The sequence below is a fragment of the Homo sapiens genome, chromosome 12, assembly GCF_000001405.40.
Source record: "Homo sapiens chromosome 12, GRCh38.p14 Primary Assembly".
NCBI lineage: Eukaryota > Metazoa > Chordata > Mammalia > Primates > Hominidae > Homo > Homo sapiens.
In genome coordinates, this window is record NC_000012.12 from 104,681,626 (window position 1) to 104,697,838 (window position 16,213).

At 45.2% G+C, this 16,213-nt stretch overlaps 1 protein-coding gene across 4 annotated transcripts in view, besides 3 other annotated features; it reads left to right on the top strand.

The window, feature by feature from the left end:
- Positions 1-16,213, top strand: part of CHST11 (carbohydrate sulfotransferase 11) — a 305,067-nt gene that overhangs the window by 224,678 nt on the left and 64,176 nt on the right. The window lies entirely within an intron of this gene.
- Positions 6,318-6,513: a silencer, noted in NCBI's record as "fragment chr12:105081721-105081916 (GRCh37/hg19 assembly coordinates)". NCBI's record gives its function as "represses an EF-1alpha promoter that drives an FKBP-Casp9 reporter gene in an ReSE screen in HepG2 liver carcinoma cells {active_cell/tissue: HepG2}" and the evidence as "EXISTENCE:reporter gene assay evidence [ECO:0000049][PMID:32094911]".
- Positions 10,392-10,471: an enhancer, noted in NCBI's record as "active region_6930". NCBI's record gives its function as "activates an Ori minimal core promoter by ATAC-STARR-seq in GM12878 lymphoblastoid cells {active_cell/tissue: GM12878}" and the evidence as "EXISTENCE:reporter gene assay evidence [ECO:0000049][PMID:35858748]".
- Positions 14,097-14,236: an enhancer, noted in NCBI's record as "active region_6931". NCBI's record gives its function as "activates an Ori minimal core promoter by ATAC-STARR-seq in GM12878 lymphoblastoid cells {active_cell/tissue: GM12878}" and the evidence as "EXISTENCE:reporter gene assay evidence [ECO:0000049][PMID:35858748]".

Below are 16,213 nucleotides of genomic sequence, written 5' to 3' on the forward strand. Positions count from 1 at the left end.
TAATACAAAGTTTAAAATGACATGCTAAGCCTGGGCAACATGGCAAAACCCCTTCTCTACAGAAAAAAATAAAATTAGCCAGGTGTGGTAGCATGCACCCGTAGTCCCAGTTGCTACTTGGGAGACAATTGAAGTCTGTTTTTCAGTCTGATAGGTCTAGAAACACTCATATACCTCTTTTTTCTTTTTGTCTGTTTTGCTTTTTTTTTTTTTTTTTTTTTTTGAGATGGAGTCTCGCTCTGTCGCCCAGGCTGGAGTGCAGTGGTGCGATCTCGGCTCCCTGCGAGCTCTGCCTCCCAGGTTCACGCCATTCTCCTGCCTCAGCCTCCCGAGTAGATGGGACTACAGGCACCCGCCACCACACCCGGCTAATTTTTTTTTGTATCTTTAGTAGAGACGGGGTTTCACCGTTTTAGCCAAGATGGTCTCGATCTCCTGACCTCGTGTTCCACCTGCCTCGGCCTCCCAAAGTGCTGGGATTACAGGCGTGAGCCACCGCGCCTGGCCTGTTTTGGTTTTTTAAAAAAGACACTGGCATAATATTTTGACAAATGCCGAAATAATATAATGTGGGATTGGGCTCTACTGGAAGTATATATGTTGTACAGCACTGGGAACAGCAAATTCCATCAGGGAGGGACAAAGTGAGGGAACAAGAGTATCAGGAAAGTTTTCTAAAGGAGGTTGCATCTGAGCATGCCGTTGAGGAATAAAAGTGTTCATCTGTCTGGCCAACCGCCACAAACTGAGTAGAGGCAGCAGCACACAAAAGAAAAGATCAGTAATATTCTATAAGCTTTGACCTGCCTGAAGAAACAGCAGCAGCATTTGTTATGGTTGTATTTTAGTTGTGTCCTTGGTGACAAGCAAACCCTCCCTGGCCATCGGACACAAGTGGATCATTGATATCAGTTGACTCCTGGTTACCCCAGTTTTGGTAACACCTGTAATGTCTTGGCCTGGATCTTGGTAGTGAAAGATTTCATCTCTCTGGTGTTTATGGTCTTGTTTTTCACCAAACTGACATTGGGAGAATCTGAGACAGACTAGAGATAGCAATGGTATCCTCCATATGGCATTAGGATTTCACCTGTATGATGTGTTTCTCCTGTGAAGCCACCTCATTGGGAAATAAATTCTGCCCCATGGCAACCGATGTTCAATCCCAGTGACAGCAGCATAGCCCGGCAGAAAGCACTGAGAATCAGGTTCCAGATTTCAACACTGCTCCTGGCCTTAATGAGCCAGCTACCGTAACCGTAGCCACCGATCACCAAGTACCAACCCTGTGTCCAGCCCCACCTGACTCTCTGTCCTTCTTCTCCAGACTTGTCTAATAGGGGTAAACTGTACTTATCTTCACGGGAGTGTTATGCATTCAAAGACAAAAGTGAAGCCACTTTAAAAGATGTACAAACCTCAAAAGGGAAACTAACCTTTGCAGGAAGGAAGAAAGTGTTGAAATGGCAAAAGGGGGCGGGGTCTTGAGCAGGAGGTGGAATGGAGTATGATTGGGCAGGGGGAGAATGTCACCAATGAGCAGGGTTTGACACTTTCAGGCCCAGTATCCACCTGCTCAGTGCGAGACAACCCAGCAGTCAGACAAAACTAAGGCAGAGGCTTCAGCAAAGCTGGACACATGCTAGCTCCCCACCCCAAAACAGAGAGAGAGGGAAAGAGAAATCATTTATATTTATAAAAATCATCAATGTAGTCATCATAGGACCAGTAAGAAATGAGGCCGGGCTTATACTTACTTTATGGTTTCACCTTATTTTCACTTCGAATCACATTTTGGAGGTGGCCCTATGGTTTTGTTAGGGTTTCAGACCTCTAAAGGTCTAAATCCAGCTGTGGCTACACTGAACAATTTTCCTGTAGTGGTTGGGAGCAACTTTGTGGGGTTGAAATATGGTATTCAGAAATATGGATAGATTTTCCCAGGAAATAGTAAGATATGAGATTCCCCTTTCAGCCACCCCAGAACTGATCACTCTCATGGGGCAGATCTTTGATTTGCCGACACCAGATTACCCACCTGCAAAGGAAAATTTTTAAAAATCATGCTTTGAACATTTTTCTTTGACATTTGAATTGTATCAATTGTTACATCCCTTGGGCGCATTGCCGGGCAGTGAGTAGATGCCAAGAACATCTACCAGGATGAATGAAGGAATCTGTCGGTGAATAAATGAATGTGGGAGTGAATGCATGCATTCACATCTATGGGAAAATTCACTATGATTAGATTCACCTCTGAACTCAGTTCCATCATGCTAGCATCTGTTAGCCAAGTAACCTAAGCTAGAGAGGCCTGGAGTCCTACCAATTCAGTGGATTAGAAGGGCAGAGAGGTGAAAGAATGTTCCCTTAATGCTTAGCACTTGACTGTAAGTGCACACTGCTGGCAGAATAGTCAGCAGTGGAAATGAGGGAGGAGCGAGGAGATGCGGCAGAACTAGCAGCGGGGCAGAGCTCCAGATCCCCAAGATGGTGGCATTATTTATGAGAAAGGACTCCTCTTGCAAAACTGTGCGTAGACGCATGGGTGTGGCTCTTCCCCCAAAGGACTGGCTTTCCTTTCCTTCCTTCTTGAAGGATTACAGAATAAATAGGAATTGGTACAAAATGTGGATGGATGGATGGATGGATGGATGGATGGATGGATGGATGGATGGATAGATGGGTGAGTGAGTGGATGGATAGATGGACAGATAGGTGGATGGATGAGAGGACATCTACACAGGGTGGTGAAAAGAGCATTGGCCTTGAATGGCAGAGCTACTCAGCTTCTTTGAGCCCAACTCTATCATCTGTAAAAAGGGGATGGTACACCCTGCCCCTCCATGGCTCCAAAGGCTATTAGAAAGCTCAAACTGAAAGCCAAGACACCTTTGTTTTGTTTGATATGGTTTGGTTTGGTTTGGTTTGGTTTTGTTAGAGACGGAGTCTCACTCTGTTACCCAGGCTGGAGTGCAGTAGCGCGATCTCAGCTGACTGCAACCTCTGCCTCCCAGGTTCAAGTGATTCTCCTGCCTCAGCTTCACAAGTAGCTGGGATTACAGGCATGCACTACCATGCCTGGCTAATTTTTTGTATTTTTAGTAGAGACAGGGTTTCACCATGTTGACCAGTCTAGTCTCGAACTCCTGACCTCAAGTGGTCTGCCCGCCTCGGCCTCCCAAAGTGCTGGGATTACAGGCATGAGCCACCACCACACCCAGCCCCAAAACACCTTTGTTCAGTCAAGGTGCTCTGCAGCTATAAGGAATTATTTTCTATGCAACCTCTTCCCTCCAAAGACTGCCTCTAATCCCCCATGCTGCAAATATATTATGATTAAAGTGCAAGAGTAAGTCAAAATCTTAGTAAACTCTATGATCACTTTGGCATTCCTCCAACAAACTCTGCATGGATTTTGTTCCTCCTCTCAGCTCCCAAGCAATTTTTCTTACATTGGAGGTTGCCAAGATTTTATGGCTATTTGGTTATCTTATCCATCCAGATGGTTAGCATTAATTTATGCTGAAGTAAATCTGCAAAACCTCATCTGTCTCATTGCTCCAGAAGCATTAGGTGTAAGGCCTAAAAAAATCTTAATATATAGCCTCCTGAGAGGGCTGAGGTGCGATGTTACTGCATGCTTTTTATTCAATTTGGCTTGAAATTCTGCTCTTCTATCCCTTGATATTTATATATAAGCAAATTAGGTTGTTTGGTATAAGAAACCTAAACTTATTTTATGACTTTTAATGCAGATGCTCATCTCAAGTTACACAGGTGCTTTTTATTGAGAAAAGTTATACCATGATTTATACCAATGATAAATTTTGAACACCTTTTCTCCATTTTTGAATATTCATCATTAAGACATAATGTATGGGTTGGCGACCAGGGATTCAAATACTCATTAAATGTGTGACCTCAGGCAAGTCTCTCAGCCTAGTTGAGCTCCATTTCCATCACCTAGATGAACACTTGCCTGTAGGACTACTGTGAGGATTATATGTTTAATGTATGTGGGGTGCTTGGCACATAATAGCACTTAATAAATGCTATTAGGGACTATTCTTGTTATGGTTGAGCCGGTGAAGAATTTTGTGTGAGAGATTGTGTCTGGACTTTCATTTGGAGCAAGTTAGGTCAAAATAACAGCTCCTGGCACTGCTGGTGCTGAACATGTGTTCTCTGCCTATTCCCTTGCTGAGACATGAATTATTAATATTTTATGCCATTTATTCCTGTGCTATTTGGGGACTTCTCTGGCAGACTCTGGTGTTTTCTGATGGTTCCAGAAATTCGTGCAAAACATTTCTATAGGCTGGGCACAGTGGCTTACACCAATAATCACAACACTTTAGGAGTTCAAAGTGGGAGGACCACTTGAGGCCAGGAGTTTGAGACCAGCCTAGGCAGCCTTAGTGAGACCCTCATCTCTACGAAAACATTTTTAAAAAATTAGCTGGGCATGGTGGTGCATACCCGTAGTCCTAGCTACTCAGAAGCCTGAGGCAGGAGAATCGCTGGAGCCCGAGTTTGGAGGCTATAGTGAACTATGGTCCCACCACTGCACTTCAACGTGATCACAAAGGGAGAACTCACCTCTTAAAAAAAAAAAAAAAAAGACAACATAGTGATTCATAGGGTTGACCTGACTTTTCCTAGGAGTCTAATGGACAGCTGCTTAGCCGCTGATCCAGCGCTTGGCTGACTGATTCCAGGTGCCAGAATGTGGGACAGCTGTGCTCTGAGAGAGAGTCCTCTGCTCACTCAGGTGCAGAAGACAGTAAAGACTAGAAAGTTGGTTGATGATTGCTGGAATAAAGGATGAGAAACTTGAATCTGGTACTAGGCCCACACAAATTCAGTTACTATGTGTCACTTCCTGTTGGCTATTTATTTAAAATTGTAGGACTTCTGGACAAGATTTGCAACTGTGGCTGCTACTGTATCAAAAGTTACAAAGTAACTGCTAAGTAGAGCCTTTAGTTTGTTGTTGTTCTGGTTTATTTTATTTATTTGTTTTGTTTGTTTGGTTGGAGACGGAGTTTCATTCTTGTTGCCCAGGCTGGAGTGCAGTGGCGCGATCTCAGCTCACCGTAACCTCCGCCTCCCAGGCTCAAGCAATTCTCCTGCCTCAGCCTCCCAAGTAGCTGGGACTACAGGCACCCGCCACCACGCCTGGCTAATTTTTTTGTATTTAGCAGAAGCAGGGTTTCACCACGTTGGTCAGGCTGGTCTCAAACTCCTGACCTCAGGTGATCCACCCACCTCAGCCTCCCAAAGTGCTGGGATTACAGGTGTGAGCCACCACACCTGGCCATTCTTGTTTCTTTTTGTTTTGTTTTAAAATTGTATATTTTGGATCAGTTTGCATCTCTCTCTCTCTACAGGGATTGGTTTGAGCATTGTGCAGGTCCCAACTGCCAAGGCTCATGGTCCTTCTGTATAGATGCCACAAACCTACAGTTAACACAGCAACCTTTCTGGCCTTGCCAAGTGCTAAGAGTGGTTGCAATAGGGCCTAGGATTCAGAAGTTGCACTGGGCAGTCAGCAGGGCCCATGCCCCTCACCAGCTCTTCTGGAACTATTTTGTTTTTTTAGCATCCAAGTGCTTTACACCTTGTTCTCATTTGGGTGGTCAAGCCAAGGGTTGTTGACTGAATTCGTAAAAGCACCTTACACATCAGAGGCACTAAGTAAATGTGTATAAATCCTGGACAATACAGCAATAGTGATGGTTAATAACAATGGTTCTCATTTATTGAGCACTTACTATGTACCACACACCATGTGAAGCGCTTTACCTGAGTTATCTCATCTCACCGTCCAACCACTGCATTAAGTAGATGCTGCAGTAGCCCTTATTTTACAGATGAAGAAAGAGGCCAAAGAGCTTAAGAATTTGCCCATAGTCATAGCTGGGAAGCCAGAGGCAAGGATTTGATTCCAGGGTAGTCTTTAGACAAAGACCTGGGCAGTGAGGAGGTACTTCCCAAAGACCTGGGCAGTGAGGAGGTTCTGGGAAGTGAGGAGGTACTACGAGTTGAAATGAGAAGATAGATGTCAAGGCCAGTTTAGCTCAAGATTCTTTTTTAAAGAAATGGCCTTTCCTGCCTAGAATGATCCTGTTTCAAACAGCGGCCCCCGCCCCCCCCAAAATTTTTTTTTCCCTTTGCAGCTTTGGATTTTAGTAACACCAACAATATTTCCTGGAGAAATACTCCAGATGCAGTTTTCTGGTACAAGGGAAGCTGTTTTCATACCGTACCAGCATTTCACAGTTTAATGCCGTTGGGTGAGGGTGGCGGTTGTTATTCTGTGTTTCCTGCTCTCAGCCAGTGTGTGGTTCACACTTGAATTTGGCAACAGTGTGGTTGTGTTTTCTGTGCATCACTTCCCTGCATGGCATCAGATGGGCCTTCTGATTCTTAGAAAACGCAAAGATGTGGTCATTTGTGTGGCTGGAAATTGGCATCCCTGTGTGCGCGTTAAGAACGCCAGGCTGTTGCAGCAGAGGAAAACAATAGGGACCATTTTAAAATGAGATACAAGTGTTCAGGTGACTGTTGCTGTGGGATTTTAACTCTGGATGAATAGCTTGCTGTTAGGGTGGGTACTGACAGATTCCTGGAGCTCTTGTTCTGATCCTTGATCACAAATGCTTTCCGTCTAGATTGACAAGTTGAACCTTCACAGCAACCCTGTCTGGTGGGCGCCACTCCACCCATTTTATAGATGGGAAGACCGAGGCAAGGAGAAGTAACTCACCACTAGTCCCTGAGCCAGTAGGTGGTAAAATGAGATGTGGCCCCAGATAGCAAGGCTCAAGAGCCCCTGAGCCTACTGAACTATAGGGCTAGATTGACGTATTGGGAAGTCTTCTGAATAAATTGCTTCTTCCTCTCACTTGTTTTGCTAGAAACATAAATTAATGTTAAAACATCAACCTGAAACGTGTATTTAAAAACCTGTAAGATATTCTCAAGATAATCTTCAGAAATATGTGAAAAATAAAATGTTAAGGATCCTTAAGGATGTTCACACAGGTATTATTTCTAATAACAAAAAATTGGAACTAGACAGTAACCAAAATAGGGGTGTGGTTAAGTATATTCTGTCACAGCCATATAAGGAAAATGTATAGAGCCCTTAAGATGATGTTGTAGCATAAAGTTTATGGACATGGGAAGATGTCAGTTACAAGCCATTGCTACTGGGCATGGTGATGAGCCTGCAGGCCCAGCTCCTCAGGAGGTTGAGGCAGGAGGATGGCTTGAGCCCAGGAGTTCGAGACCAGCCTGGGCAAGAAGGGGCAAGAAGGAGCAAGAGGAGGAGGTGAAGGAGACAAGCTATTGTTAAATAAAAATAGTAGACTTTTTAATATAAGTATTATATGATACAATTCTTTCTATATACACACATTCGTGAAAGAACATTTCTAGGACAAATGTCAAAATATTAACAGTATTTCCTTTAGGTGTTATGGTCTATTGTGATGTTCTTCATTCTTTTGTGACTTTCTCATTTTCCTTCCAAGCTGCCTGCAATGAGTAAGGATTAGGAAAAGAAATTTTTAAGACCAAAATAAACCTTGGCCTCAGCCAGAATCCCTTCCTACCCAACCTGAAACCTCAGGGCCATAAATCGCCTGCTGCCTCCTCAGGTGGACATGCTTGCTTCCAATCGAAATACAGTGGAAGCTTTTTCCATGGCCAAGGATAGGCCCAATGGCTGTTCTATCCCATAGCAGGCAGACGCCTGAGACCCTCGTTTGTGTGTTATGCTCTGTTGAAGATGGGGCAGAACATACTTCCCAGCAGCTGTGAGGCTGAGACGAGGTGAGCAAGTCCTTTTGAATTCTCTTTCATGCATTCATTCAGCAACCTTGTATCATGCACTTACTATAATTACGTGATTAATCATTGCAACTACATTTATGTGATTCTTCTCCTTGCCAGGCACTGTGGTAGATGCTGCCTTATACCAGTGCCCAAGGCGGCTAGCATACCTGCCTGAAGTTAGAGACGGGGTTGGGGAGACAGCTGTCCTTTAACAATGGAGAGATTTGGACTGTCCTGGGAGAGACAGAGCCCTATGAAGACCATCATGGGAACATAGAGCCTAACACAGGCACTGTCTGCTTAACTAGACAGACAAGCCCAGTTCCCTCTCTCCTTCCCCCTCCCAATACTGTCCCCAGCTCTGCCCCTGGATGCTCTTCCCCATTCCCCTCTGCTGTGGTCTCTCCCCCGTCTCTTCCCTTTCCTCTTTCACAAAATGTCTGTGCATTTTTTTTTTACTTAAAACCACTACGCAAAAATCATAATTTAAGTCAAAACTGGGTCGATTCAACCCAGAGGGGATTTTGCATGACATTCTCAAGAATATTTTCAATTTGTCTAATATCAATTGTCTCCCCATTCAGGTGGGCTCACACTCTTGTGACGAAGGTGAAGATTTAAAAATAATTTATTCCCATGTAGCCACAGGAAATCAATTGAGCAGAGAAAGGATTGAGCAGAGCAAGCGAGATTTAGTTTTCATTAAAATAACACAGTACCTATAAATAAGGTGAGAATCCAGTTAATAGCTTTCTATTAAAGTGGAGTTGACGGAAAGAATTGCATTGGAAGGATTTTGTTTTGGGACTCCGTGAGGATTTAAACATTCCCTTCCTGTCTCTGGGTCTCTGTGCATTCTGAAGTTTGAATCATTTCATTTGTATTTCTCTTTTCAATTTGCTAAAAACTATTCTTAAAGTTGCATCCATTTGTCGCTTCTTGTTGGGTAGGAATAAAAGTCGATTTCTGATCCCCTCTTATATGAAAAATGGATGCATTAGGTCCAACATCTGAGGTCTTCCTCTGGCCAGTCATAAAACAATGACAAACAGGCTGCTTGAAAAGAGATACGAGACTGGGCGCGTTGGCTCATGCCTGTAATCCCAGCACTTTGGGAGGCCGAGGAGGGTGGATCACTTGAGCCCAAGAGTTCTAGACCGGCCTGGGCAACATGGTGAAACCCCATCTCTACATAAATAAATACAAAAATTAGCTGGGCATGGGGGCATACGCCTGTGGTCCCAGCTACTGGGAAGGCTGAGGTGGGAGGATCATCCAAGCTGGGAGGTTGAGGATGCAGTGAGCCAGGATTGCACCACTGCACTCCAGCCTGGGCAACAGAGTGAGACCCTGTCTCCAAAAATAAAAATAAAATAAAAGAGATATGAGCAAGAGAATAAAAACAGAGTGATCGGGGAATGTCAGACCAAAACAGGATTTTCACAAGTGCAGCTTACTCACTGTAGTTACTGCATATCAGAATCATCTTTGGCCAGCATCAAAGACTGGTCTTTTCTTGCCTGAAAGAATCCATTATTGGCTATGTTGAAAAAATTAGGTCATGTATAGACTCTTACCATCTTCTTTCCTCCCAACTCTCACCAGGTCTGGGGTCAAAGATGTGGGTTCTAGCCGCAGTCCTGTCCTCGAAGAACAGATGGCCTTAGACAGGTCTCCAGGTCCTCAGTTTCTCTACTAAGAAAATGTGCCAGTGCCCAATAAGGCACGGGAAGGGTTGGTTGGTTCAGCCCGTTCTGAACTGCCTTTCAGCTCTGGATGGGCTGTGAGGATGTGATGTTCTGTGTCCTGTTGTCTTTCACCAGGGAAGGGTGCCTAGAGAGGGCGTCAGGTGGGTGCTAAAGTGAGAGTTAGACTTCCAGTTCATCCACTGTTAGATGAGCACAAGCCAGCATTCCCCAAAGCATGCTACCCACACCAACCATTTTTCTCTTAATGGTGATGTGTCTATTTTAAAGAATACTGGGGGCGGGGGGGAAACCAGGCACATTAGAGGCACAATTTTTTTTTTTTTTTTTGAGATGGAGTCTCACTCTGTCGCTAGGCTGGAGTGCAGTGGTGTGATCTCGGCTCACTGCAACCTCCAACTCCCTGGTTCAAGCGATTCTCCTGCCTCAGCCTCCCAAGTAGCTGGGATTACAGGCATGCGCCACAGTGCCCAGCTAATTTTTTTTTATTCTTCATACAGTTGGGGTTTCACCATGTTGGCCAGGATGGTCTCGATCATCTGACCTCATGATCCGCCCGCCTCAGCCTCCTAAAGTGCTGGGATTATGGGCGTGAGCCACCGCCCCCAGCCTAGAGGCACAATTTAACACAGGTATTGTCACCTAAGGGCAGGACAAGGGACACCAGGCTTTGGCAACCAGCCTCATGCAGACCAGACGAATTCCGAGTGTGTGGCTTGGTACTTGGATGTGTGACAATGTGGTGAGTGACTGCTGTTTAGGAAGTCACTGCCTCAGGAAACCCTTTCTCTGCTAAGCTGCAGATTCTCTGCAGAGCAGTGCCACACTACAGACCAGACCTCAGCGTGTCTCCTTGTTTTGACTTTATCATCACTTTTAAATACATACAATTGAGAGCAAGATGATGAAGTCATTCAAGGATTGCATTTCTTCCTGAGTGGAGGACCTGGTTCTAGGCACAGCAACTTCCCCCAAAGCAGCTCCTGTTCACCGTCTCTGCAGTTTCACCCACAGAGCGAACCTCGGTCCGCAGTCCTCAGAGCGTGCAGCCCACGAGCACAGCTGCTCCGACGCATGCAGTGCTCCCTGGCCAGCTCATCCTCACTCTGAAGTCGGGCATTGTCCATCCAGACAATGTGTTTGACTGCCTACCACCTTCAAGACATTGCATTAGGAACCAGGGATTTGGCGTGACCGGCAAAAATAGCTAACACTTTCATAGCATTTGCAATTTGCCGAGTGATGTTTTCAGTGTTTTGCATATATTAACCCACTGAAGCCTTACAAACCTCTGAGGGAAACTGTTGTTATTTTACAGAGGAGAGAATTGAGACACAGAGGTTAAATAACTTACTGTATTAGCCTGCTCTGACAGGCATAATGAAACATCACAGACTGGGTGACTTAAACCAGGGGTCCCTAATGCCCCTGGCCACAGACCCGTACCAGTCCCTGGCCTTTTAGGAACCAGGCCCCACAGCAAGAGGTGAGTGGCAGGCGAGCAAGCATTACTGCCTGAGCTCCACCTCCTGTCATATCAGTGGCCTCATAAGATTCTCACAGGAGCACAAACCCTATTGTGAATTGCATATGCAAGGATCTAGGTTGCATGCTCCTTATGAGAATCTAATGCCTGATGATCTGAGGTGGAACAGTTTCATCCTGAAACCATCCAACCCCGCCCCTCCCACCCCCATCCATTAAAAAAAAAAAACAAAAAAAAAACTGTCTTCCATGAAACCAGTCCCTGGTACCAGAAAGGCTGGGACTGCTGACTTAAACCACAGAAATTTATTGTCTTACTGTCCTGGAGGCTGGAAGTCCAAGATCAAGGTGGCTGCAGGTTGGTTTCTCCTGAGGCTTCTCTCCTTGGCTTGCAGATGACTGTCTTGCTGCATCCTCACTTGGTTTTTCCTCCATACACACACATATCTTATGTCTCAATTTCCTCTTCTTATAAGGACATCAATCAGATTGGATCAGGCCCCGCCCCCCAAAGAACTCATTGTATCTTAATTACCTCTTTCCAAATCTTATCTCCAAGTACAGTTACATTCTGAAGTGCTGGGGGCTAAGACTTCAACATATAAATTTGAAGGGGTCACAGATCAGCGCAACACGCCCAGTGTGACACCACTGAAAAATGGAGGGCTGAGATTGGAACCCAGAGGCCATGCTCTTAAGCTACTATGCCATACCTAGGGTAGCAGTACTATATAATTTATCCTCCAAATTGGGACACTTTGAGAGGGAAGGATCGTCATTAATATTTGTGCTGGGTCAACAGGCATAAGATGAGGCTGTCTCAGGCACACCAGGATGTGTGGTCACTTAAATTACACAACTTCTTAACTCTGACAGAATGGTGCCTGCCCTTGTGGAGTCTACAGTCCACTGGATGGGAGACAAGAAAGTGGCAATGCTAATGCAGCATGCCAAGTGTCAGGACATGGGGGTTTTAAGGGACCATGAGAAGTTGGGAGCACAGAGAAGGGCCCCTGATTTGGTCTCTGGGGGTCAGGGAGGGCTTCCTGGAGGAGGCGACAACTAAGATGAGATTGATGGATAAGTAGGAGTTAGCCAAAGTGAAGTACATAGTGGTGAGAGCTGAGATGGAATGGATACCAAGGCCTCAATCTAGAGATTAGGCCTCTGGGCTCGGGCACACCCCTACTCTCTGGGACCGCTTATATAAAATGAGATACAGTTTACATCAAGGATCTGTCACTTTTTCTTAAAAAGTCAGATAGTAAATATTTTAGATTCTGTGGGCCAAGAGGCAATATCAAGGATATTACATAGGAACTTGTATAGTTACTTAAAACAAAACCATGTAAAAATATGAAAATTATTCTTAGCTCCAGGACCATATTAAAACAGGCAGCTAACTGGATTTGGCCCGCACATTTATCTCAAAGTTTGTGGTCTTACCCAGCTTTATGGCATATCTATTCATCAGAAAGCTTTGCCAGGTATTGTATAGACCATGGGGCAGGGGGTAGCTTGTATCATGGACGTACCTACATTAAAAGCCCCCAAGAGCCAGCAAAAACCCATATTCAAACCTACCTCCACTCTCCAGCCGCAGTCCAGCCCCAGCCAAGCCACTTAACCTCTCTGAATCTGTTTCCTGATCCTGTGGAATGTGGGTAATAGCACTGCTTCTCAGGGCTGCTGTTAGCTGCCTTCTCATTCCTCTTACTCAGCATTCATCAAACACTTATCCTGCACTGGGCGCTGCACCAGGCCCCGGAGTTCAAAGGTGGCCAAGATGCCACTTTTGAAAAAAATGTTTTTTGAATGTGTTTTTTGGTTTTGTTTTGTTTTTGTGGTCATTTTCTTAAAAAACCTGGGTGTGGTCAAGAGCACAGCCCCCTGTTTTGACGCTGCATTAGTGGAGGGAATGAGTTTAACGAAGCGGGTGACTTCACCTGGGTCACCTGCCAGGATTCTATCTGGGGTCACAGTTACTTCAATAAAGTGAAGCAGGAACGAGGCAGAGGGGACATGGGCCTTTGTGAGAATGAACGATGGAAACTCTTTGAACTCCTGGGATAGAAAGGCCAAGCTGTCACTAGAGCTGTTCGTGATGGGAGAGTGATTAAAGCTCGTTGGAGTTTCCTGCCTTCTTCTGGCATCAGAACTTTATGCCTGCTCTGTGTTCGGAACCAGTGCAGCTCCGAGTCCTGAGCTTTGACGTGGGAATCAGATTTCCCTGGGCCTGAGTCAGATTCTGGGCCCCACAGAAGTCAGTGGCTCCCATTTGGCTGAGGGGGTTCCCACCGGACCCTTTGCTGGGTAGAAAACACAGCAGCCAAGAAAGATCTGTTGGTCCTTGAGTCAGCTGTTGAGAAATGGAGCCACAGGGGATGCTGGGGGGTTCTCCGAAGCTTGACACCCTGCCTTCAGATCCTGGCATCATCATTTGGCAGGAACACGTGTGGCCTTTCACAAGCAACAGGATTTCTTTGAGCCTCAGCTGTCCCATCTGTAAGATGGACATGGTGTTGCCTTCCCAACTGGCTTGCCCTGAGACTAAATTTGGAAATTGCCAACATTCCTCGAATGCTCCTTATGTGCCAGCTATTGTGGGGAGGGCCTCAGCTCAGCCCCCTCCAAGGCCTGATAGTTTGAAGGCACTGAGGTAGAGGTTTTGTGTCTGTTCCTAGAATTAGGCAGTTTGGTTCCAGAATCAACATCCTTAACCATTAGATGACACTGTCTGTGAAGAGAAAGAAAACTCATGAAAACACAATTCACAACACAATGAGTGTGTGTGTGTGTGTGTGTGTGTGTGTATGTGTCCTTGTGGTTTGCTTATTGAACAAGCATTTCCTGAGCACCTACTTTGTGCAAAGCCATGGAAACATAAAGATGACTAAGGCACAGTTCCCAGCTGCAAGCGGGGAGCTTCCAGACATTTCTATCTTACCTCAGAGCTAGTGATAAGAATAGGTTCCCTCACTCTCACTTCCACCCAGCATGTGCCTTAGCTTACAATTGATAGATTTTTTTAATTCTGTGACCACAGAGCTCTTTGCCAGAAATGGGGGCGGGGGAAATCCATTACCCAGAAGCGGCCCCAGCTCCCCCTTCACAGCCCTCCTTTCTTGTGGGTAGCTGGCATTGCCACGTACAGAGTAACTTGGACGTGACGCTTCACCGTGAAGTCACACTCCTGGCCTGCTGGGAACAGTGGGGCAGCCCTGGAGGAGCCAACCCGATGAATAACGTTATTGGAGGTGTCCATATAAAGAGGACCTTGTGTAAATAAATGATGTGACCCTCCCACCCCCACTTTGGCAGGGCTGCGGAGCTGAGAAAGGGAAGCACAGGAAATGTGTTTATTTTGCCTTTGCTGAGCAGTCGTTCTGAGGGTACACAATGCAACATTAAACCCCAGGGGAGCCTCCTAGGTATGTTAACTCGCCATCTGCATGCTCCCTTTGCTGTGCAAAGAGCACAGAAATGGTTTCCAAGCCTTCTGTTTGGCTCCCACCCACCCTACCTTTTTTCTTTTTTCCTTTTGTCTACTTGGGAAATTTTTGAAGATAAAGTGCAGCAGATGATATAATAAACACTTTTTACTCACCATCCTGAATTCACAAATGTAACATTGTGGCATATTTGCTTCAGATCTTTTATAGATCTGCCTATATAATAGAAATAAACCATCAGGGTCAGGCACGGTGGCTCACGCCTGTAATCGCAGCACTTTGGGAGGCTGAGGCGGGCGGATTACTTGAGGTCAGGAATTCAAGACCAGCCTGGCCAACATGGTGAAACCCCGACTCTGCTAAAAATACAAAAAAAAAAAAAAAAAAAAAAAAACATAGCTGGGCGTGGTGGTGCACACCTGTACACCTGTACTCCCAGCTACATGGGAGGCTGAGGCAGGAGAATTGCTTGAACCGGGAAGGCAGAGGTTGAAGTGAGCCGAGATCACGGTACTGCACTCCAGCCTGAGCAACAGAGTGAGACTCGGTCTCAAAAAAAGAATAAAATAAAATAAACAAACCATCACCAAGGTAGAAATCTCTTTTGAATCTCCTCTTCTCCCCTTCATCCCTGCCTCTCAACCTCTTATGAATTTACAATATAAATTCCAGTGTTTGTTTTATACTGTGACTCCTATATCTGGACCCAGATACAATATGCAACACAGGTTTATGTTTTCATAATTTATGTAGGTGCTATCATACTGAATATATTACTCTTCAATTTGCCTGTTCTGTACAACTATGTGTTTTGATGTCCAGCCCTGTGGATCCCTCAGTCTGTTCCAATTACTGTATCATGTTCCATCATATGATTATATTGCATTCTATTTATGTATCTACCTATAGGTAGACAGATAAATTGCTTCCATTTTTTTATCATTATGAATAACATTGATCAAAGCATCCTGGTGCATGTCTGCCTTCAGATGCACAAGTATAAGTGTGTCCCTATAGTGTGTGTCTCAGGACACCCGCCAGCAGTGGATGGGGACCCCGATTTCCCTGGGTCCTCCTCACTGCTTCGTGTTGACATATTGTGATAGTTAATTTTTTGTGACAATGTGACTGGATTAAGGGATGCCCAGATAACTGGTAAAACATTATTTCTGGGTGTGTCTGTGAGGGTGTTTCTGGAAGAGATTAGTCTTTGAATCAGTAGACTGAGTAAAGAAGAGCTTCCTCTCCAGTGTGGCCGGGCATCCTTCCAATCACTTGAGGCCTTGGATCAAACAAAAAGGTGGAGGAAGGGCCAATTCTCTCTTTTCTTGAGCTGGGACGTCGGAGCTCCTGGTTCTCCGGCCCTCGTATCCAGACTGAATCTCACCACCAGCTTTCCTGGTTCTCCAGCTTGCCAATGACATATCATGGGACTTCACAGCCTCCATAATCACACGAGTCAATTTCCATAATAAACCTCCTCTTATATATGTCTTATATATCCTACTGATTCTGTTCCTCTGGAGCACCCTAACACACAGATGTTTTGTATTTCTTCCCAACTAAGTGGCCTCTCCATTGAAAAAAATAAGAAAATTTAAAACAAGGAGCTTGCTCAGAAGTGGCATGACCTGCCCATGAAAAGGAATGCTTTGTAAATCCCAGAGTTCAACATCATCTTTCCTCAGGGCTCCTGGAGATTCTGGACTCAGGAGCACTTTTCTT